General features: G+C 49.7%; 2 protein-coding genes across 10 annotated transcripts, besides 8 other annotated features; one reads left to right on the forward strand and one right to left on the reverse strand.

Moving 5' to 3' along the window:
* Positions 12,035-12,798: an enhancer, noted in NCBI's record as "H3K4me1 hESC enhancer chr20:326527-327290 (GRCh37/hg19 assembly coordinates)". NCBI's record gives its function as "activates a minimal SCP1, AML or CMV promoter by ChIP-STARR-seq in naive and primed H9 embryonic stem cells {active_cell/tissue: H9 hESC(naive and primed)}" and the evidence as "EXISTENCE:reporter gene assay evidence [ECO:0000049][PMID:30033119]".
* On the reverse strand, positions 12,418-14,842 carry LOC101929937 (serine/arginine repetitive matrix protein 2-like). The gene is made up of 4 exons (XM_047440635.1): positions 14,825-14,842; positions 14,252-14,537; positions 13,571-14,166; positions 12,418-13,143 (listed from the first exon to the last, which is right to left on the reverse strand). The coding sequence occupies exons 1-4, from the start codon at positions 14,840-14,842 to the stop codon at positions 12,820-12,822; spliced, it is 1,224 nt and encodes a 407-aa protein (XP_047296591.1). The 3' UTR covers positions 12,418-12,819.
* Positions 12,799-13,561: an enhancer, noted in NCBI's record as "H3K27ac-H3K4me1 hESC enhancer chr20:327291-328053 (GRCh37/hg19 assembly coordinates)". NCBI's record gives its function as "activates a minimal SCP1, AML or CMV promoter by ChIP-STARR-seq in primed H9 embryonic stem cells {active_cell/tissue: H9 hESC(primed)}" and the evidence as "EXISTENCE:reporter gene assay evidence [ECO:0000049][PMID:30033119]".
* Positions 13,131-13,550: a silencer, noted in NCBI's record as "silent region_12569". NCBI's record gives its function as "represses an Ori minimal core promoter by ATAC-STARR-seq in GM12878 lymphoblastoid cells {active_cell/tissue: GM12878}" and the evidence as "EXISTENCE:reporter gene assay evidence [ECO:0000049][PMID:35858748]".
* On the forward strand, positions 13,263-21,014 carry NRSN2 (neurensin 2). 9 transcript variants are annotated; one of them, NM_001323679.2, is made up of 6 exons: positions 13,263-13,294; positions 13,586-13,658; positions 15,401-15,515; positions 15,790-15,984; positions 19,362-19,458; positions 19,591-21,014. In NM_001323679.2, exons 4-6 carry the CDS (start codon positions 15,796-15,798, stop codon positions 19,785-19,787), a joined length of 483 nt encoding a protein of 160 aa, NP_001310608.1. In that variant the 5' UTR covers positions 13,263-13,294; positions 13,586-13,658; positions 15,401-15,515; positions 15,790-15,795; the 3' UTR covers positions 19,788-21,014. The 9 variants fall into 9 exon arrangements, 8 of the variants coding, with proteins under 8 accessions (NP_001310608.1, NP_001310613.1, NP_001310611.1 ...); NM_001323684.2 differs by having other exon boundaries at positions 13,586-13,664; positions 15,768-15,984; positions 19,362-21,014; NM_001323682.2 differs by having other exon boundaries at positions 13,586-13,664; positions 19,362-21,014.
* Positions 13,562-14,324: an enhancer, noted in NCBI's record as "H3K27ac hESC enhancer chr20:328054-328816 (GRCh37/hg19 assembly coordinates)". NCBI's record gives its function as "activates a minimal SCP1, AML or CMV promoter by ChIP-STARR-seq in primed H9 embryonic stem cells {active_cell/tissue: H9 hESC(primed)}" and the evidence as "EXISTENCE:reporter gene assay evidence [ECO:0000049][PMID:30033119]".
* Positions 13,562-14,370: a biological region, named in NCBI's record as "H3K27ac hESC enhancer GRCh37_chr20:328054-328816".
* Positions 13,571-14,100: a silencer, noted in NCBI's record as "silent region_12570". NCBI's record gives its function as "represses an Ori minimal core promoter by ATAC-STARR-seq in GM12878 lymphoblastoid cells {active_cell/tissue: GM12878}" and the evidence as "EXISTENCE:reporter gene assay evidence [ECO:0000049][PMID:35858748]".
* Positions 14,281-14,370: a silencer, noted in NCBI's record as "silent region_12571". NCBI's record gives its function as "represses an Ori minimal core promoter by ATAC-STARR-seq in GM12878 lymphoblastoid cells {active_cell/tissue: GM12878}" and the evidence as "EXISTENCE:reporter gene assay evidence [ECO:0000049][PMID:35858748]".
* Positions 15,397-15,691: a silencer, noted in NCBI's record as "tiled region #10349; K562 Repressive non-DNase unmatched - State 14:Gen5'". NCBI's record gives its function as "represses a minimal TATA promoter and a strong SV40 promoter by Sharpr-MPRA in K562 cells {active_cell/tissue: K562}" and the evidence as "EXISTENCE:reporter gene assay evidence [ECO:0000049][PMID:27701403]".
* Positions 21,015-22,249: the final 1,235 nt, after the last annotated feature.

Below are 22,249 nucleotides of genomic sequence, written 5' to 3' on the forward strand. Positions count from 1 at the left end.
ACATAAACCCAGGAATGGAAATGCTTTGCTGGCGATGGACAGTGAGTCTGGGAGAACATTGAGGAGATGTTTAACCCAGACAATGGAGTGGGGTGTGGTCAGGTCATTCCCTGGAGGAGGTGATGTTTAAGCTGTGGCATGAAACCTCAGTAGGATGTGATGACCTTAGAACATGGCTACACGTTCTTTGACATTCCTCCTTTAAATTACCTTCCCTTTGAATCTGGGCTGGGCCTTCATGATCCATTTGTAACCAACAGGACACAGCAGACATGGTGCTGCAGGATTTCCAAGGCTAAGTCACGCTGAACCGCCATGTTGAAAGGCCAACAGCCAAGACTGCCATGTGGAGAAGCAGCCCGGGCCACGTGGGAAGACCATGTGTAGGTAGCTGCTCCAGTTGACAGCTGAGCCCAGGCACCAGACTTATGAGTTGAGAAGCTTCCAGGGGATTCCAGCCCCTCATAATTCAACTCACTCCCAGCTGTTGGAGGGCCTTCCCAGCAGAGGCCCAGCCATCACAGAGCAGAGACAAGCCATCCCTTCTATATCCTGTCTGAATTCCTGACCCAGAGTCCACGAACATAATGAGATGGCAGTTGTCCACACTATTAGGTTTTGGGGCAGTTTGTTATGAAGGAATAACTGGAACAATAGGATAAGGAAGAGTGAGGTGAAGGAAAGGACTTTACAGATGCCAGCAACAGTACATGGGAAGACCTGGTAAGAGTGGCTGACACAGAAGCTAACCAGCTTGCGGGGAAGGTGTGGAGAGAGGAGGGTGACAGGCAAGAGTGAGAAGGACCTTGAAGGTATTTGGACTTTATCCCGAGTCTTCACACTGCAGCCCAAGGGGTCAAGGAGTCTTTTTTTTTGTATGGTAAACATGGGGTCTTGCTATGTTGCCCAGGCTGGTCACAAACTCCTGGCCTCCAGAGATCCTCCTGCCTTGGCCTCCTAAAGTGCTGAAATTACAGGTGTGAGACACTGTGCCCAGCCTCCAAGGGGTCTTCTCTTTTTTTTGAGACCGCGTCTCGCTCTATTGCCCAGGCTGGAGTGCAATGGCGCAATCTCAGCTCACTGCAATCTCCGCCTCCTAGGTTCAAGCGATTCTCCTGCCTCAGCCTCCTGAGTAGCTGGGACTACAGGCATATGCCACCACACCTGGATAATTTTTGTATTTTTAGTAGAGACAGGGTTTTACCATGTTGGTCAGGCTGGTCTTGAACTCCTTACCTCATATGATCTGCCCACCTCATCCTCCCAAAGTGCTGGGATTACAGGCGTGAGCCACCATGCCCAGCCGGGGTCCTTTGAAAACACAAACCTGACCACTGCTGTAAACCTTTCGATGGCCCCTTACTACCCTCAGGATAAACTCTTGAAATTCAAGGCATTTTGCAGTTGACTCCCTCACTCTTTTATAGATTTATCTTCGGTCACTTTATCCTCAGCTACGCCAGGCCACTCTCCAGTGACAATGCTTCCCGCCTCACCCATGCTATTTATCTTTGCTCATGTGGAGGAATTAGTGGGACTTTGGGCTAATCACCTTGCCTTTCGAGGCCTCAGTTTCCCCATCTGTATGATTAGGTGGTTGGACTAGAAGTTTTTGTTTTGTTTTGTTTTTGTTTTTGTTTTTTTGAGACCGAGTTTCACTCTGTCGCCCAGGCTGGAGTGCAGTGCTGTGATCTCGGCTCACTGCAACCTCTGCCTCCCGGGTTCAAGTGATTTTTCTGCCTCAGCCTCCCAAGTGACTGGGATTACAGGCATGCACCACCAGGCCCAGGTAATTTTTTTGCATTTTTAGTAGAAACAGGGTTTCACCATGTTGGCCAGGCTGGTCTTGAACTCCTGACCTCAAGTGATCCACCTGCCTCGGCCTCTCAAAGTGCTGGGATTACAGGTGTGAGCCACGACACCCAGCCTTAGATGTCTCTTAAGAGCATATCTAGCCTGGCATTCTAGGAGTCTATGAAAAGGAGGGAGAAAGGTGTCTGTAGCCAAACCTGCCTGTCTGGCTTCTTCTAGGTTGCCTAGCAATGGATGCCAACCCTCTCCCCCATCCTTGGGGGTTTCTTAGCAACCCAGTTTCTCACCCTCTGCTGTTTTCAGGGTTTCCTTTTAACTAAATGTCAAGTTTTGCTCTTTCTCCTCCAGAAAACCTGAGGCCAAGGGTCTCTGTGTAGAGCTGGATACAACCCAGAATACACAGAGACCTGGGTTTGAGGTCAGTGGAGGATTTGCTGTGTGACTTGGAGGTCTTTGACCTCTCTGGCTTTCATTTCAGACTGTGATTCCCTGTCATATGCTCCTCAGAGTTCTTCTTCTTTTCTTCTTCTTCTTCTTTCCTCTTCTTCTTCTTCTTCTTCTTCTTCTTCTTCTTCTTCTTCTTCTTCTTCTTCTTCTTCTTCTTCTCTTCTTCTTTCTTCTTCTTCTTCTTTCTTTTCTTCTTCTTCCTCTTCCTCTTCTTCTTCTTCTTCTTCTCCTCCTCCTCCTCCTCCTCCTCCTCCTCCTTCTCCTTCCTTCTTTCTTCTTCTTCTTCTTCTTTTGTTTTTTGAGACCTAGTCTCACTCTGTCGCCCAGGCTGGAGTGCAGTGGGGCGATCCCGGCTCACTGCAACCTCCGCCTCCCTGGTACAAGCAGTTCTCCTGCCTCAGCCTCCCAAGTAGCTGGGATTACAGGTGCACGCCACCATGCCCAGCTAATTTTGTATTTTTAGTAGACACAGGGTTTCACTATGTTAGCCAGGCTGATCTCGAACTCCCAAACTTTGGGATTACAAGCATGAGCCACTGTGCCCAGCCTGTTCTTTTCTATTTTTTGAGATGGAGTCTCACTCTGTCACTTAGGCTGGAGTACAGTGGCACAATCTCAGCTCACTGCAACATCCACCTCCCAAGTTCAAACGATTTTTCTGCCTCAGCCACCAAAGTAAGCTGGGATTATAGGTGAACACCACCACACCGGGCTAATTTTTTGTATTATTTGGTAGAGACGGGTTTTCACCGTGTTACCCAGGCTGGTCTCAGACTCCTGACCTCAAGTGATCCGCCAGCATCAGCCTCCCAAAGTGCTGGGATTACAGGCATGAGCCACTGTGCCCAGCCCTCTGTATTGTTCTGATTTTAGTATATGTGTGCTGAAATGAGCACTTCCCTCTTCTCTTGTATGCGTTTGGTTTGACTACCAAATTTATTCACTTTTGCAATAAACCGTCACTGAGCACCTACTATGTTCCAGGCACTGTCTTAAGGACTGGGGATTCGTCAGTGAATAAAGCAGACATAGTCCCTTCCCTCACAGAGCTTATACTCTAGTAGATGGAAACGTATAATGAATAAACAGATAAGTGCACATAATGATATCATGCAGTGAAGGGGACAAAGTGTAAGGAAGGGCTACTATTTTAGATGAGGAGGTTGTATCAGTCAAGATGGGCTAGGGAAGTCAGAGATGGTTGGGAAGAAAAAGCCTGGCTTCCCCCTTTCTCCCTCCAACTTCCTGTGGGTGCCTCACCTTGGGTGACCTCAGCTAGAGGCCAGCTGACAAAGGAGGCTGAGTAGCTTCCAGGGGTCAGCTCTGCAAAGCAGGAAAGAGCAAGGAATCCACTGGAAGCAAGAAGGCCCAAAAGTACCTTGGGAGGTACGCCGCTTTTTCAGCTCACTCACTGCCTGTAAACTGTCAGGGACCCTAGGATCATTAAAAAATATTTTGAGGGCCGGGCGTGGTGGCTCACGCCTGTAATCCCAGCACTTTGGGAGGCTGAGGTGGGTGGATCACTTGAGGTCGGGAGATCGAGACCAGCCTGACCAACATGGAGAAACCCCATCTCTACTAAAAATACAAAATTAGCCAGGCGTGGTGGTGTGTGCCTGTAATCCCAGCTACTCGGGAGGCTGAGGCAGGAGAATCACTTGAACCCAGGAGACAGAGGTTGCAGTGAGCTGAGATCACACCATTGCACTCCACCCTGGGCAACAGGAGCGAAACTCTGTCTCTCTCTCTCTCTCTCTCTCTATCTATATATATATAGATAGAGAGAGAGAGAGAGAGTAGTAAAATACAGATAGCATAACATTTACCATCTTAACCATCTTTAGGTGTACAACTCACTGGATATTAAGTATAGTCACATTGTTGTGCAACCATCACCATCATCCATCTTGAGAACTCTTCATCGTGCAAAACTGAAGTTCTGGATCCACTATGCACTAACTCTCCATTTCCCCCTCCCCCTAGCTCTTAGCAACCACCATTCTGCTTTCTATATGTATGAATTTGACTATGGTATATGTCTCATATAAGCAGAATCATACAGTGTTTACTTTTCGTGACTGGTCTATTTCACTTCACATCATGTCCTCAAGGTTTATCCATTGCAGCATGTATCAGAATTTCCTTCTTTTTAAAGCTGAGTAATATTCTATTGCATGTGTATATCACATCTTGCTTATCCATTCATCTGTTGATAGACACTTGGGTTGCTTCCACCTTTTAGCTATTGAGAATAATGTTGCTATGAAAATGGGTTTGGAAATTTCTCTTCAAGATACACTGCTTTCAGTTCTTTTTTTTTTCTCTCTGAGACAGTCTCACTCTATTGCCCAGGCTGGAGTGCAGTGGCACAATCTCCGCTCACTGCAACCTCCACTTCCTGGGTCCAAGCAATTCTCCTGCCTCAGCCTCCCGAGTAGCTGGGATTACAGGCTCACACCACCGCACCTGATGTGTGTGTGTGTGTGTGTGTGTGTGTGTGTGTGTGTCTGTGTGTGTTTAGTAGGGATGAGGCTTTGCCATGTTTGTCAGGCTGCTCTCAAATTCCTGATCTCAGGTGATCCGCCTGCCTTTGCCTCCCAAAGTGCTGGGATTACAGGAGTGAGCCACCACCCCTGGCTTCAGTTCTTTGGGGTATATAACTAGAAGTAAAATTGCCAGATCATGTGGTAATTCTATTTTTACTTTTTCAAGGAATCACTATGTGTTTTCCATAGCATCTGCACCATTTTTCATTGTTATCAACAATTCACAGGGTTCCAGTTTCCCCCTATCCTTGCCAAAACTTGTTATTCTGTTTTGTTTTATGGTAGTCATCCTAATGGGTATGAAGTGACTAGGATCATTTTGAGACCCAAACAGTCACAGGCTTTTTTGTTGTTGTTGCCCAGGCTGGAGTGCAGTGGTGCAATCATAGTTGACCGCAGCCTCAACCTCCTTGGGCTCAGGTGAACCTCCCACCTCAGGCTCCCAAGGAGCTGGGACTACAGGCACACACCACCACATCCAGCTAATTTTTGTGTATTTTGTAGAGACAGGGTTTTGCCATGTTGACCAGGCTAGTCTTGAATTCCTGGGCTCAAGCAATCCACCTGCCTCCAGCCTCCCAAAGTGCTAGGATTATAGGCACCCAGCTTCATAGGCTTTTTAGCCCAGGCTTGTGATTTCTTTGTCAGTATAATTCTCTGAAAAACTTAGGTTTCTGGCAGGGGGCAGTGGCTCACGCCTGTAATCCCAGCACTTTGGGAGGCCGAGGCGGACGGATCACCTAAGGTTAGAAGTTCGACACCAGCCTGACCAACAGGGTGAAACCCCATCTCTACCAAATACAAAAAATTAGCCAGGCATGGTAGCATATGCCTGTAATCCCAGCTACTTGGGAGGCGGAAGCAGGAGAATCACTTGAACCCAGGAGGTGGAGGTTGCAGTGAGCCAAGATTGTGCCATTGCACTCTAGCCTGGGCAACAAGAGTGAAACTCCATCTCAAAAAAAATCTTAGGTTTCTTATCGATTTGACTGTAGTTAATGGTACTAAAACCATACCCACAATACTTTTCAATATATTGTCCTCAAGTCTGCTTTTTCCCTTTGCTTTCTATCCTAAAGCTGTCACTCTCAATGTAATGGCAATTAGCAAGAATAACAGGTGGCAGAGTTGCACCTCTAAAGTGATCTTGGCTCTGAGAGTTTTTACAGGACATTTTTCACTCAAAGCCTTTTAAAAATCCAATCTCATACTTTAGTTGATTCTAGCCTTGAAGTACTTTAATTGATAAAAAAGAAAGTTCATAAGGTCATTGGGAAGATTAATTATCCCAGCATATAGTAAATGCTCTATAAATGATACCCATCTTTGTCACTTTTTTTTTTTTTTTTGAGACGGAGTCTCACTCTGTCGCCAGGCTGGAGTGGCACAATCTTGTATTACTGCAACCTCCGCCTCCTGGGTTCAAGCAATTCTCCTGCCTCAGCCTCCCAAGCGAGTAGCTGGGACTACAGGCAGCATGCTGCCACTCCCGGCTAATTTTTTTTTTTTTTTTTTTTCAGTAGAGCTGGGGTTTCACCATATTTTCTTTCTTTCTTTCTTTCTTTTCTTTCTTTCTTTCTTTCTCTTTCTTTTCTTTTCTTTTCTTTTTCTTTCTTTCTTTTCTTCTCAGAGTCTCTCTCTGTCACCCAGGCTGGAGTGCAGTGGCATGATCTTGGCTCACTGCAACCTCTACTTCAAGTGATTCTCCTGCCTCAGCCTCAAGAGTAGCTGGGACTACAGGCATGTACCACCATGTCCAGATAATTTTTGTATTTTTAGTAGAGACAGAGTTTCACCACGTTGGCCAGGCTGGTCTCAAACTCCTGACCTCAAGTGATCCACCCACCTCAGCCTCCCAAAGTGCTGGGATCACAGGTGTGAGCCACCATGCCTGGACAAATTTTCCTATTTCTTAATAGATAATCCATCTTGTTTTTCTCAAAAGTAGACAGTTTATCAGGTGTCGTGTCTCTCACCTTCCCACCCTACTCACCTATAAACTAATATAACAATAACAGTAACAATAACCATAATTTGCTGAGTTCTAATTTTGTTCCAGGTACTTTGGATAAGTGTCTTATATGCACATCTCATTTCACTCTTTCAACCCCTCTGAGAGGCAAGTACTTAAATTATCTTCATTTTACAGTCAGGGAAACTGAGGCACAGAGTGTTTAAATCATGTAAGCAGTAAGTAGTGGAGCTAAGATTCAAACGCAGATCTGCTGGACTCCAGAGTTCAACTTACAGACACTACATTGTGGCTCTTCTTGGTGGCCCCCTCCCCTCCTCCCCAGGCTCTCAGAGGATACAGGATCCCTCCTTTGCTAGTCAAGGCCAGCCCATCCCCCTGTATATTTGACTTCATCTCTTCCCACTGCCCCAGGATTTCATCCACCCCTGCTCTGATATCAGGGGCCCCCTCCCCTTCTGTCCATGGTGTGGGGCTTTTTGCACTTCACACACACACACACACAGGTGCACATACATACACACCCCTTCTCCAAACCACTCCACAAAGGGCCCCTGCCTCCTCACTTTCTTGCCTTCCACATCACACCCTAAATTCTCCTGGCCAAGGTTCCCACTGACCTCCTTGTTGCCAAACCTAAGTCCTGTTGTCCCGCTGTGTGTCTCTTATGCACTTGGCAAGGCTGAGCAGGTCCTTCTTGGAAATGTGTTTCTTTGGTTTCTATGACACAATGCACCCCCACTCCAAAACACACATACACACATCCCAGATTCTTGCCCCCACCCACCACCACCCGCTATCTCTCTAGATGCTTCTGTGGTTCTTTCTCCTCCTCTGACCTCTTCAAATGTAGTATGGTGGTTTTAAAACATGTCCATAATTTTTTTTTTTTTTTTTGAGATAGAGTCTCACTTTGTTGCCCGAGCTGGATACAGTGGTGCGATCAGGTGCGTGCCACCATGCTCAGCTAATTTTTTTTAACTTTTAAGTTTTTTGGAGAGATAGGGGCTCCCTGTGTTGACCAAGCTGGTCTCGAGCTCCTGGGCTCAAGCGATCCTCCCATCTTGGCCTCCCAAAGTGCTAGGATTACAGACTTCAGCCATCGTGCCCAACCATGTCTATAAATTCTTTAAGACTCCTCCCACTGAGTAACAGAGTCTGTTTCTTCCCCTTGAATCTGAGCCAAACTTAGTGACTCAGACTACAGTAGAAATGATTCTATGGTGACTTGTGAGGCTGGGTCATAAAGGCAATGTGGCCTGACTCATGGGAGTCCTGAGCTACAGTGTAAGAGGTGTCAACACTCTCAGCTGCCATGCTGTGAGGAAGCCCAACTGGCTCATGCAGAGAGACAACATGGAGAGGCCTTGAGGCTATATGAAGAGAGATGCTTGGCCAGCTCCCAGCTGCTCCAGCTCCCCAGTGCTCCGGCTTCCACTGTAACCACAAAAGAGACACCAAGGCAGAACCACCCAGATGAGCCCTTCCCAAATTCCTGACCCACAGAAATTGTGAAAGATGATAAAAATCATTGGATTTGGAGTGGTCTGTTATGCAGCCATAGACAGCCAAACAGAGGCATCTTAATCTGCTTGGGCTACTATAACAATTTAGCATGGAGCAGGTGGCTTGACAACACACATTTATTCCTCAGGTCTGCAGGGTGAAGAGTCTAAGATCAAGGTGCTGGCAAATTCCATTCTGCTGGCAACCAAGGGCCTGACTTCTGGTGTACAGACGACCATCCTATTGTAGCCCCAAATGGCACAGAGAAGAAGCAAGCTCTCAAGTCTCCTCTTATCAGGCTGTAATCCCTCCCAAAGGCCCACTTCCAAATAACATCACCTTAGGACTTCAACATATGAATATGAGGGAGATACAAACATTCAGTCTGCAGCAGAGGGCTTCGTTAGAGCTCTGACCTGAGCACGCTTCATCTCAATGTCATTGTTTTTGCCAGCTCTACATCCACTGCCCTTTTTTTTTTTTTTTTTTTTTTTTTTTTTTTTTGAGACAGAGTCTCACTCTTATCACCCAGGCTACGGTGCAGTGGCACGATCTTGGCTCACTGCAACCTCCGCCTCCCAGCTTCAAGTGATTCTCCTGCCTCAGCCTCCGGAGTAGCTGGGACTACAGGTGCATGCCACCACACCCGGCTGATTTTTGTATTTTTAGTAGAGACAGGGTTTCACCATGTTGGTCAGGCTGGTCTCAAACTCCTGACCTTGTGATCCACCTGCCTCAGCCTCCCAAAGTGCTGGGATTACAGGCATGAGCCACTGGGCCTGGCCCCACTGCCCTTTCTTACAGTAACAGTATTTCAATTTCCCTTTAGGGAAGCTCTTCAAGCAGGTTCTCAGTCCAAGAGGTTTCTCTGGGTTAAGCACTGCCAGCCACCCAAAGGGTGAGCAAGTAACCAGCCAATCAGAGACACTCCAGTGGGTTCAGTAAATGACATATTATCTAACTGGGGTGAGGGGAATCAACATCAGGGCTTTTCCTGAGACTATAAGGAGAAACAGATTCTTTTCCCAGCAGTTAAATTTGAAGTCTGTGGCCATTTTGCTACCATATAGGGAAAATCTGCCTGACATTGAAGCCAACACAGATGAGGGAAGAGCCAAGAGATAAAGAGAAAGATCCTGAGCATCTGGATACAGCCATGCCTGAAGCCAGTATCCCTTGACTTCTCAATTATGTGAGCCTTTATATTCCCTTTGTTTAAAGCCAGTTCAAGTTTAAAACTGCCATTTCCAGTGAGAACAATTCCCTATGTTGTATCTAAGGCCAAGACCTTGCCCCTGACTCTAGGCCAGAATGTCCTGTACAGTGCCATTCAACTCTGCCAAAAGCAAAGGGCATCAACTTCTCCACAACCTGGCTTTCCCTCATCTATTTTACATCTCTGTTAATGGGAGCATCACCCACCTGACCTATAAACATAAAAGTCAGCCTCTATCCTCTCTGTCTCTCTCCCTCTCTCTGTCTCTCTCTCTCTCTCTCAATCCCTGTCACTTCCCTTACTTCTTAGTAACCAAGTTCTGCCAACTTAACTTTATGGACATTTTTCACACCTGCACCCTCCTTTCCATTTTTCCTGCCCACTCCAATTCTTCATCATTTCTCACCTAAATTTTTACAAAATCAATAGATAACTAACATAGAGGTGTATAGTAAAAAGTGAATTTCGGCCGGGCACAGTGGCTCATGCCTGTAATCCCAGCACTTTGGGAGGCCGAGGCAGGCAGATCATGAGGTCAGGAGATAGAGACCATCCTGGCCAACATGGTGAAACCTCATCTGTACTAAAAATACAAAAAAAAATTAGCTGGGCATGGTGGCATGTGCTTGTAGTCCCAGCTACTGGGGAGGCTGAGGCAGGAGAATCGCTTGAACCCGGGAGGCGGAGGTTGCAGTGAGCTGAGATCGCACCACTGCCCTCCAGCCTGGTGACAGAGCGAGACTCCATCTCAAAAAAAAAAAAAAAAAGTGAATTTCATTCCCACCCTTGCCATCAGTTACCCTCCCCCAAGGCATCTACTGTTACCTCTTTCTTGTCTATTTTCCCAGAAGTTCTCTATATGTGCCATCTTTTTGAGAATTTCAAATGGAGGCATACTATCAAGACTTTTCAGAACACTGCATCCTTCTTCACTTGAAGTGTGATTAATATAAATAATTATAGACTAATTTCTTCTTTCTAATGGATGCATAGTATTCCACAAAGACATATAATGTACATAACTCGTCTTCCATTGATGGATATTTAAGTGGTGTCCCAGTTATCTGTTAGCACAGAACAAAACCCCCCAAACCTAGTGGTATAACACAATAACCACTTGAATATGCTTGTGGGTTCTGTGTGTCAGGAATTCAGGCAGGACACAGTGAGGCCAGCTTGTTTCTACTCTGCAATGTTTGAGTCTTCAGCTAGGAAGATTTGAAGATTTGAAGGCTGAAGCTGATTCAAATGGCTGGCCACTGGAATCATCTTGTTCTTCCCCTTCCCCTTCGCCTTCTACAGTGCAATGGCATGATGTCGGCTCACTGCAACCTCTGCCTCCCGGGTTCAAGCAATTCTCCTGCCTCATCCTCCCTAGTAGCTGGGATTACAGGTGCACGCCACCATGCCCGGCTATTTTTGTATTTTTAGTAGAGACGGGGTTTTGCCATGTGGCCAGGCTGGTCTCGAACTCCTGAACTCAGGGTATCCACCCGCCTTGGCCTCCCAAAGTGCTGGGATTACAGGTGTGAGCCACCGTGCCTGGCCTCATCTGGTTCTTCTTCACTCACTTCTTTTATGCTTGAACTGGGATGACTCAAAGCTAAGCTTAGCTGGGACTGTGGTGCCTTCATGTGTCCTCTCCTGATGGTCTTGGCATCCTGACAGCATGGCAGCCTCTAAGCAGACATGGAGCCCTAGGTAGGCATGGTGCCTCAGGCTCCAAGAGCTAGAGTTCTAGCAGAAGTTGCCTGTACTTTTATGTCTGGACCTTAGAAGTCAGAGTGTTACTTCCACCGTACTCCATTGGTTGAAGCAGTCATCAGCTCACCCAAGATTCAGAGAGGGTACAAGGATCCCACCTCTCTACAGAGGAGTGCTAAAGAATTTGTAGCTATATTTTAAAACCACCACAGGTTGTTTCCAATCTGTAGCTATTCCTGTAGTTCATTTTACAGGCTAACATCTCTTGAATGTCTTCATTTCTCTGCACCAGGCCAAGACACTGTCATCTCTGATCTCTTTGCTGATCTCTTGCTGTCACTCTTGTGCTCAACATGCTGTTCTCTTGACAGCAGCCAGAGGTCTTTTCAGAATGAAAATCAGATCACATCCCACCCCTCTTCATAACCCTTCCATGGCTCCCCACTACCCTTGGGCTGAAGCTCAAACTCCTTACCTTGGCTTATGAGGCCCCACAAGGTCTCACTTCTGCCTGCCTCTCCAATGCCATCTCCTGTCACCATTTGGGGCCTTTAGTTTTGAGCTGCAAGAGTTCCTCCCATCACACACACACACATACACACACACACACACACTTAAATGAGTAAGTAAATAGAACATACAAAACGCTTAAACACTTTGCACATAGTGAGCATAATAAGTTTGCTACTATTATTAGACTGTCTTCAGTAAATATTTACTGGGCTGCCTACTCAGTGCCAAGCACTATGGGAGGCTCACAGATACAACACGAACAAGAAATATGTGGCCTTGGCCAGACGCGGTGGCTCACGCTTACAATCCCAGCACTTTGGGAGGCCGAGGCAGGTGGATCACTTGAGCTCAGGAGTTCAAGACCAGCCTGGGCATCATGGCAAAACCCTGTCTCTATTAAAAATACAAAAAATTAGCTAGGCATGGTAGTGCGTGCCTGTAGTCCCAGCTCCTCAGGCGACTGAGGTGGGAGGATCACCTGAGCCTTGGGAGATCGAGGCTGCAGTGAGCCGTGATCATGCCACCGCACTCCAGCCTGGACAACAGAGTGAGACGCTGTCTCAAAAAAATAAAAATTAAAAAAAAAGAAAAAGAAAAACTAAAAAGGAAGATGTGGCCCTATCTTGCCGAGCTCATTCTTCTGTGTGTCCCCAGCCCCTAGCACAAGGAGAAACAGAATAGATGCTCAAGACACAAAGGCATGTCTGTGCAAGGGTGCTTGATGACGGTTGGAGGGGCACAATGACTTTCCCAAGATCACACAGCAAATGTGGGACAAAATCAAGGCTGACAGCTCATGACAGGGTGGGAGGCAGATGCAGCTGCCTGGCACAGGCTGGCTCTCCAGGGAGATGGGCAGTGGGCACGCATTGCCCAGGGCAGAACTGGGGCTAGGGGAGGAAACAACAAGGGAGGCTGTCATTAGCTCCTTCCAAAGTGGAGGTCACTTCTCTCCCAACCCCGAGTCCTCCACCCAAACTCCCTTCTCAAGGTACAAGGGCTGATCCCGTACCAGGGATGGGTAGGGACTCAAAGAGGAAAAGAGGATGAAAAGAGGATGGGGACTGAGTGAGATGTGAGGACTCCAGAGGGATTAGCGGCTCTCAAGGCAAGTGGGAGGGGACTTCCCGGTAGGAGCCCGGAGACAGATGGGAGCCTGTGAAGAGGGCGGGGGCCCGGCGAGGAGAAGCGGTTTCTACGCTGGGGTGGGGCTCCATGAGGGGGATGGAGACCTGGAAAAGGGACTGACGGTGCAGCGAGGAGAGGAAGGCTCGGTTAAGGGATGGGTCTTCCACGGGAGGGGTGGGGAACTGCGGGAGTGACGGCAGCTTCGGTGAGGAGTCTGAGGGGCTGCGTGAGGGGCTGGGGCCCAGGGAGTCCGAGGGGTCTCTGTGAGGGCGCTGGGGTGTCCGAGCGAGCAGGGAACTCTGGAAGGGGACAGGAGCCGGGGGAGCTGCAGGCGGCCGCCGTCTGCAGAGCCAGGCCCTGAGGCGGGCCGGCGCCCCCTCCCCCGCCCCGAACTGCGGCGCAGGCGCGAACCGGACCCGCCTTTGCTCGGCGGAGACAGCAGGCAGAGAGGTGAGCTTAGCCCTGCCCCACGCGCGGCCAGGCCCCAGCCCCAGCCCCTGGAGAACCCCCGCGCTCTGCCCGCATCCTCAGCCCGGGCCGTGTCCCGCCAGGGCCGGGACCTTTGCGCCTGAGCCTCGGCTTTGGGAGGTGGGGGTCCCAGGGAAGCAGCAGGGGCGGGAGACAGAAACAGCCCCATCGCCCCTCGACGCCTCAGGGTTGATAGGCTGGGTAGAGGCTTCAAAGGACACCCCCACCCCCGCCAACACTTCAAAAACCCATTCCTACCCCTCTCTGCCTCAGTTTCTCTCTAGGGAAAAGGACGCAGTTGGTGTGGAGCAGGGCATCGGTGGTCCTGTCAGGAAGAGTGGCGCGGGTGCCGGTGGGGAAGGGAGGCGGGAAATGGCCTGATTTCCCCGGCCGACACCCCCTACCCATCCCCCCCGGGAGGGCGCCCCTTCTCCCCCGCCCGGGCAGCGCTGGACGCTGTAGTGGGCGAGTCTGAGGGTCTGGGAAGGACACAACTGAATGAGGCTGTGCAGAGGCGACAGATTCCGTCCATCTTCGGGCCCTGGCTTCCGTCACTTCCGCCCGTGCCTGCCGCCCCTCGCCTCCTCCCTCCGCCGCAGTCTCCCCACGTCGGACAGCGCAGCCCCCTCCGCCTCCCGCTCCCCTCCCACCGAGCTCCTCCCGGCTCCCGGGCTGGGGACGCCTCCCTAGCGGTTCCCATGGCAACCCTCGTCCCGGGTGCCTGCGCCCCGCCCCCCGCCCGCCAGACCTACTCCGTGCAGCCCTGAAACGCCAGGCGGAGGGGCCAGGCCGAGCGGGAGGCAGCGTCAAGGTCACCTTCCCTCTCCAGTAGCAGCAGGACTGAGTGATTCCATCTATTTGGAGTCGCGGAAGCGGTGAATTGGAGGGGAGGAGCTGACCCAGGTCAACAGCCCCGAAGCCCCCTCCACACCTCCTCACCTGTGGCCTTGAACAGTGGTCTCCGCACGGAGGCTCCTACCGTCCCCCAGGCCCCATTTCTTCTCCCCACCCGGGCCTCCCCAGCGCCTCGCCGGGGCGGGTACCGCGCTGGCCGCACCCTCCGCACAGCCCGCCCCGCCCGCCTCCTCCGGCGAGCCCTCCTCTCCAGACCTCTCGCCCTCCTCCTCCGACGGTCCTTCGCTTTCAGTCTCTGCCTTTTCCCGTTCTCTGTCGTGGCTTTTGTTGTTGTTGTTTTTCCTCCTTTCCTTCCCCGCTCTTCTTTTCCCTGAATTGTAAGTGAGGAGGGTGTACAGCCACTATTTATGGACAGGCTTTCTTGACAGCAATCTTGTGTGCCGTGTGACTCCAAGCAGAACCTCCAACCGTGTGTGTGTGTGTGTGTGTGTGTGTGTGTGTGTGTGTGTGTGTCGTACCTATCTGGGTATGTCTCTGTATGCTTTGTGAGTATGTCTGTGTGTTTCTCTGTGCTGTTTCGGTGAGTTTCTCTATGCAGGGATTTGAGGACCACATCTGATTGGAAGTGAGGGGCAGCTGTCAGGACCTTTATCTTACCCTTTGGAACAAGCACATTGTTTCATTTTGCAGGAGGCTGCTAATTAAGGCTGAGGGCCATCATGGAGACTGGGGTAGAAGCCCAGTCCTCCCCCAACACCTCCTGGCTTTGGTTCGGGCCAAACCTGTATATGGATATACAAGTACCTTCCATTCCCAAGATCCGTGTCCACTTTTGTGGAAAAAAAAAAAAAGGTTATTTGATAGGTTTCTCTGGAAATCTAACAGCCCTTAAGCCTAAGAGTCTTTAATCCTGAGGGACCCTGACTTTCACTTCCAATGGAGTCAAAATTCATTGGAATCTGGAGGCTTTCAGGGGCAGTCCTGGGGAGGACCTTTTTATAGCCTTGCAGCTTGGGAACTCCAGCCCAAGTGTCAGCCATGACAATTACCCCCAGGAGGGGGTCTGAAGGGGAGCGGAGGGTGAGGCTCTCTCATTCCAGATATGGAGACTAAAAAGTTCAAGATGGAAGTAATAGCAAAAAAATTACAGTACTAATCACAACAGCTACCATTTCTCAGCATTAGACACAGTAACTGTATGAAAGAAGTATGATTATTAGGTCTGTTTTACAGATGAGGAAACTGAGACCCAGAAAGGTGGAAGCACTTGTCTAAGGTCACGCCTCCAGGAAGCAGTGTGTCCACGACTCCAGTCCAAGTGGTCAGGCTCCAGAGCCCACAGTCCCAGGTACTGGGTGGCCTCCAGAGTAAACATGCACATTTATTGACACCTCCAATTGCCAGGCACTGGGCTAAGGCCTTCAGTGCATTGGCTCATTCGCAGTGTGCTTTGGGAAGGACAGGCTGGGATTCCAAAAGGCCAGACTGTGCTATGCGTGTAGGGTGTCTCGAGTGGGAGGAGAAGCGGGTGGGGCACAAAGATTTAGGGGGCTTATGAAGGTCACCATGAGCAGCTCCCACTAATCCCTCCCTCCGTCAGCTGCACCTTACCTGCTCCCCAGGGGTCCATGATGCCGAGCTGCAATCGTTCCTGCAGCTGCAGCCGCGGCCCCAGCGTGGAGGATGGCAAGTGGTATGGGGTCCGCTCCTACCTGCACCTCTTCTATGAGGACTGTGCAGGCACTGCTCTCAGCGACGACCCTGAGGGACCTCCGGTCCTGTGCCCCCGCCGGCCCTGGCCCTCACTGTGTTGGAAGGTAAGGCCAGATGAGCACCTCCCATGATTCCTCTGCCTTGATGGAGGAAATGAGTCTGAATTTGAGGCTCAGAGGAAAAAAGAAGAGATAGCGTAGTAGTTAGGAGTCTTGCACAGTCAAGCAACAGAAAACCCAATTCAAATGGGTTTAAATAATGAAGGGAGCCTTCATTGTATTTGTATTTACATACAAATTATTTACATAATTATTTACATATTTATTGTATGTAAATAATGGTGGCTCATGCCTGTAATCCCAGCACTTTGGGAGGCTGAGGTGGGCAGATCACCTGAGGTCTGGAGTTCAACACCTGCTCTGTCAGCATGGCGAAACCCTTTCTCTACTAAAAATACAAAAATGGACCGGGTGCGGTAGTTCACGCCTGTAATCCCAGCACTTTGGTAGGCGGAGGCTGAGGCTGGTGGATCTCGAGGTCAGGAGTTGGAGACCAGCCTGGCCAACATAGTGAAACCCTGTCTGTACTAAAAATACAAAAATTAGCTGGGTGTGGTGGCGGGCGCCTGTAATCCCGGCTACTCGGGAGGCTGAGGCAGGAGAATCACTTGAAACCAAAAGGTGGAGGTTGCAGTGAGCTGAGATCAATCCATTGCACTCCAGCCTGGGTGAAAGAGCGAAACTCCCTCTAAAAAAAAAAAAAAAAAAAAATGAGCCGGGCGTGGTGGCAGGCGCCTGTAATCCCAGTTACTTAGGAGGCTGAGGCAGGAGAATTGCTTGAACCCAGGAGGCAGAGGTTGCAGTGAGCCAAGTTTGCACCATTGCACTCCAGCTGGGCGACAGAACAAGACTCTGTCTCAAAAAAAAAAAAAAAAAAAAAAAAAAAAAAGAAAAAAGAAGGGAAAATGTTGCTCATTTTTTAGAAGAGACCCAAGGTCCAAGGTTGCATACTTTCAGGCAAAGTTTGATCCAGCAGTTCAACCCTTTATACCAAGGACTTTGCAAGTTTTCTTAGTCTTCAGCCTCCTCATGGTGCCCCTACCCTGGTAGCCTGTTAGCTTCAGACTCTCCCCACATGTTCCCCAAATGGCCACTACTGTGTGGACTCTCAGGTCTTCACTCCACACCATCTAAGGGAAGTCAGCATTTCCTGTGGTATTTCCTTCAGAAAAGAAAATAGCCTGTAATCCCATCATTTTGGGAGGCCAAGGTGGGTGGATCACCTGAGGTCAGGAGTTCGAGACCAGCTTAGCCAACGTGGTGAAACCTCATCTCTACTAGAAATACAAAAATTAGCTGGGTGTGGTGATGGGCGCCTATAATCCCAGCTACTCTGGAGGCTGAGGCAGGATAATCACTAGAACCCGGGAGACAGCAGTTGCAGTGAGCAGAGATCGTGCCGTTGCACTCCAGCCTGCACAACAAGAGTGAAACTCTGTCTTAAAAAAACAAACAAACAAAAAATGGCCACAGGTACTGGCTTACACCTGTAATCCCAGCACTTTGAGAGGCTGAAGCAGGAGGATTGCTTGAGCCCAGGAATTCAAGATCAGCCTGGGCAACATAGTGAGACTTCATCTCTACTAAAAATAAAAAATTAGCTGGATGTAGTGGCGCGGGCCTGTGATGCCTACTACTCAAGAGGCTGAGCCAGGAGGATCGTTTGAGCCCAGGAGGTTGAAGCTGCAGTGAGCCATGATTGTGCCACTGCACTCCAGCCTGGGCAACAGAGTGAGACTCTGTCAAGAAAAGAAAAGAGAGAAGAAAGGAAGAGAGAAAGCAAAATAGTAAGATATTAAAAACATGTTACCATTTACCTTAGCACCAAAGAAGAGAGAAATACTTAGGTGTAAATCTAACAAAATATCTGTAATATGAGAAGAACTACAAAACTCAAAAGATATCAAATAACTAAATAAATGGAGAAATAGTTCATATTCGTGGATTGGAATAGTCAAGATGTTAGTTCTTCCCAACCTGATCTTTGATTCAATGCAATGCCAATCAAAACCCCAGCACGTTATTTTGTGGACGTCAAAATGTCACCTCCTCAGGGAGGAGATCCCTGGACTGAGTCGGGTCCCTTGCTTTACTCTGGGCAAACTCTGTGCCCATTCATTCTTCAATACACTTACCACTTTGCACACTTGTAGTTTATATGGAGAGGTAAAAGATTCAGAAATTTAAAAATCATTTATAAGAAACAATGCTTTTAATTCCCAGAAGTCCTGACAAGCATTGTGTTGGCTCTCATTGGGTCACTTGCCAGCCTTGAACTAATTACTATGGTTAAGAGATGGACTATGCTGACTGGCAGGAAGTGAGGTTCATCTCACTTAAATCTTACTGTGGTTTCTCAATGGTAGACTGGAGTACCTTGCCAGGGCAGAGAAAAAATGTGAAGAATTGATGTCTTTAACAGCCAAGGAGACTAGTCGGCCAGGGTGCACCAATGGGTCAAGGTGTAGAGGTGGCAATGAGCTGAGTGCCTGCTATGGGCATAGCTCTTTGCTAAATATTCTCGGGAGACTGAGGCAGAGGGTCCCTTCTTTTGCTTTCAAAGGACTTCACTCTAGTGAGGAGGTAAGGTGCCAACCTCTGCAGAGAGGCCAACTTACATAACTTCAGGTCAGGTCTGTAGGGAACACCAGGAGAGGAAATGATCAAGGAAGACTTCCAAGGAAAGGTTAGTGTGTATTTAAAATTTTTAAGCATCTTCTTATTGCGAGGCACTGTGCTAGGCTCTTGGGAACACAGAATTTAAGACATGAGGTCCCTGTCTTCGAGGAACTCTTTTAGCTGTGGTTTATTTAATCATTCAGCAAACATTTATTCAGCCTTTGCTCTGTGCCGGCACGTGCTAGGCACAGAAGACTCCTAGTGAGCCAAAACAGGCACAGTCTGCTCTCATGGAGCTCTCAGTACTGCGGGAGAGGCAGACGTCACTTACATAGCAACCAAAATACATGTCCAAGTGTGCACAATGGTAAGTGTATTGAAGAATGAATGGGCACAGTTTGCCCAGAGTAAAGCAAGAGACCTGACTCAGTCCAGGGGTCTTCTCCCTGAGGAGGTGAGGTTTGAGATGAGATCTGATGGTGCATAGGAGTTAACCCAACAGAGACAGGAAGGTAGAAAGGATAAAGAGATGAGTTGGGATGGAGGGAAACACAGGGTTGGCCGGAGAAACCCACTGCTAGGTGGGAGCTGGGAAGGAAATTAAGAGGCCTCAGGATTCCAAATAAAACATGACAGTTTATGCCTCCTGTCAGTTAGACCCCAGCAAGTGTGTTCTGTGATTCCCATCTCCTGAGGATGGATCAAGGGGTTACCCTTAAGTCTGGTGAGGATCCAAGGTGATCCCTTGGCCAGGGGCCCCTGGCTGACCCTGACTGCTTCCTGGTCTGTCTGCTTCTCCCTAGATCAGCCTGTCCTCGGGGACCCTGCTTCTGCTGCTGGGTGTGGCGGCTCTGACCACTGGCTATGCAGTGCCCCCCAAGCTGGAGGGCATCGGTGAGGGTGAGTTCCTGGTGTTGGATCAGCGGGCAGCCGACTACAACCAGGCCCTGGGCACCTGTCGCCTGGCAGGCACAGCGCTCTGTGTGGCAGCTGGAGTTCTGCTCGCCATCTGCCTCTTCTGGGCCATGATAGGCTGGCTGAGCCAGGACACCAAGGCAGAGCCCTTGGACCCCGAAGCCGACAGCCACGTGGAGGTCTTCGGGGATGAGCCAGAGCAGCAGTTGTCACCCATTTTCCGCAATGCCAGTGGCCAGTCATGGTTCTCGCCACCCGCCAGCCCCTTTGGGCAATCTTCTGTGCAGACTATCCAGCCCAAGAGGGACTCCTGAGCTGCCCACATGGCCTAAGATGTGGGTCCTGGATCCTTCCCCCCTTCTCACCATAACCCCCTCTCAGTGTTTCCCCAACTTCTCCCTTTTAGCAGGGTCCCTTTAGAGCCCAACTCCAGGTCAAATCTGGAGCTCAAATCCCAGTGCTCCCTCCCCAGGAGTGGGGCCCCAACTCTTCCAAGATACCAGCATTCCTCAAGTCCTCCCAAAACTTCCTACCCACACCCTCTTCCCAAGGCCCTCAGGGGCAGAAAACATCTCCTTCAACCCGTCCCCACTCCTTCCTCTGCATGACCTTGGGCAAACCCTTGCCCTTTCAAGCCATCAGCTCCTGCCTCTCTGCCATGAGGGCTTTGGATCAGATTCCTCTTCTCGCCAGGATGAGGACACGCACTGCCCTCCATAGACACAGATGAAGGGGTGGGGGTCATTCAGCTCGAATGGGTCCCAGATGCTCACTTGGCCTTTCCCTGCAGGATGAGTGAAGACGTTTGCCTCTCACAGTGTGTCTTCTACCTGCATTTTGGCATCAGAGCCCCCCAGCCCACCCACCACAGGCAATTACTAGCCCTAGTTGATAGGTGAGGTGGGTGAAGAAGGCTGGAGGTGACATGTCCGAGGTCACACAACAAAGCAGCATGCAGGAACTAGAAACACATCTTCAGCCTCCTCCTGGGCCAGCTCTTGTGCTACAGGTGGGGCGGAGCCAGCCCCTCACCTTCCTGGTTCCCTGAGGGTCCTCAGGGTGGAGGACAGGTTTGGCCCAGAAAGACTAGCCAGAGGCCTGATGGTCCCAGGTGGCTCTGGATATACTTTGGATATGGATTTAAATGGTCTCTAAGAGCCGGGGGTAGGGGGCAGGAAAAGTGGGTTGTCTTTGCCCCTCAAAGTCCACCTACCTAGAAACCAAGCCCACGGTCTTGGCCGTGACCCTGATAATAAATGGGCTCTCTCAGAGGCGCCAGCCCCTCCCTCCCCAGCCGGAGGCGTCATCTCTCTTCTGTACCACTAGAGGGAGCTCTGATGCAGCTGGAGAGCAGCGCTCAAGGCTCTCGCCCCTCCCCTCCCTAACCCTTACCTTCAGTCTCCACCAGCCTGAAGGGCCTCCTAGGGGATCCTCAGGCGGCCCCCACCAGGGCACACCCTACTGTCCTTGTGCCTCACGCCCCCTCCTCATCCTGCACCCCTTCCATCCCACCTTCCCTTTCAATAAACAGCTGGGATGGATACTGACTTTGTTTCCTTTCTCCCTGGCCACTGGGGCGTGGGGAGGAGAAAGACACAGACTCAGGAGCACCTACTGTGTGCTGGGCACGACCCATTATTTCTCATTCGCTCCTCAGGATAACCTGTTGAGAAAGGAATTATTGTCTTCTTTTTTTTTTTTTTAAGATGTTGTCTCGCTCTGTCGCCCAGGCTGGAATGCAGTGGGGCGATCTTGGCTCACTGCAACCTCTGCCTCCTGGGTTCAACCAATTCTCCTGCCTCAGCCTCCCAAGTAGCTGATATTACAGGTGCACGCCACCACGCCTGGCTAATTTTTGTATTTATAGTGGAGACGGGGTTTTACCATGTTGGCCAGGCTGGTCTTGAACTCCTGACCTCAAATGATCCGCCTGCCTCGGCCTCCCAAAGTGCTGGGATTACCGGGTGAGCCACCTTACCCAGACTTATTGTCTTCATTTTACAGATGCGGTAACTGATGATCAGAGAGGTGAGTGATTTATTTTTTATTTTTATTTTTAATTCTTTTTTATTTTTTTCGAGACGGAGTCTGGCTCTGTCACCCAGGCTGGAGTGCAGTGGCACGAGCTCAGCTCACTGCAAGCTCCGCCTCCCGGGTTCATGCCAGTCTCCTGCCTCAGCCTCCCAAGTAGCTGGGACTATGAGTAGCTGGGACTACAGGTGCCTGCCAACACACCCAGCTAATTTTTTGTATTTTTAGTAGAGACAGAGTTTCACCATGTTAGCCAGCATGGTCTCAAATCTCCTGACCTCGTGATCCGCCCGCCTCGGCCTCCCAAAGTGCTGGGATTACAGGCGTGAGCCACCGCGCCCGGCCTATTTTTAATTCTTTTTATTTCAGTAGCCTTTGGGGTCAAAGTGGGTTTTGGTTACATGAATTAGTTCTATAGTGATTCTGAGATTTTAGTACACCTATCACCTGAGCAGTGTATACTGTACCCAATACGCAGTTTTTTATCCCTCATCCCCTCCCAACCTCCCTGGACTCAGTCCCCAAAGTTCGTTATATCACTCTGTATGCCTATGCATCCTCATAGCTTAGCTTCCGCTTATATAAGTGAGAACCTACCGTATCTGGATTTCCGTTCCTGAGTTACTTCACTTAGGATAATGGCCTCCAGCTCCACCCAAGTCCTGCAGTGGATTTAAATGCTCAGCCTAGGGCCTGGAGGGGTGGCTGGGCCAGGCGAGGTGGCTCACGCCTGTAATCCCAGGAC

Source organism: Homo sapiens, chromosome 20 (genome assembly GCF_000001405.40).
Source record: "Homo sapiens chromosome 20, GRCh38.p14 Primary Assembly".
Classification (NCBI taxonomy): domain Eukaryota; kingdom Metazoa; phylum Chordata; class Mammalia; order Primates; family Hominidae; genus Homo; species Homo sapiens.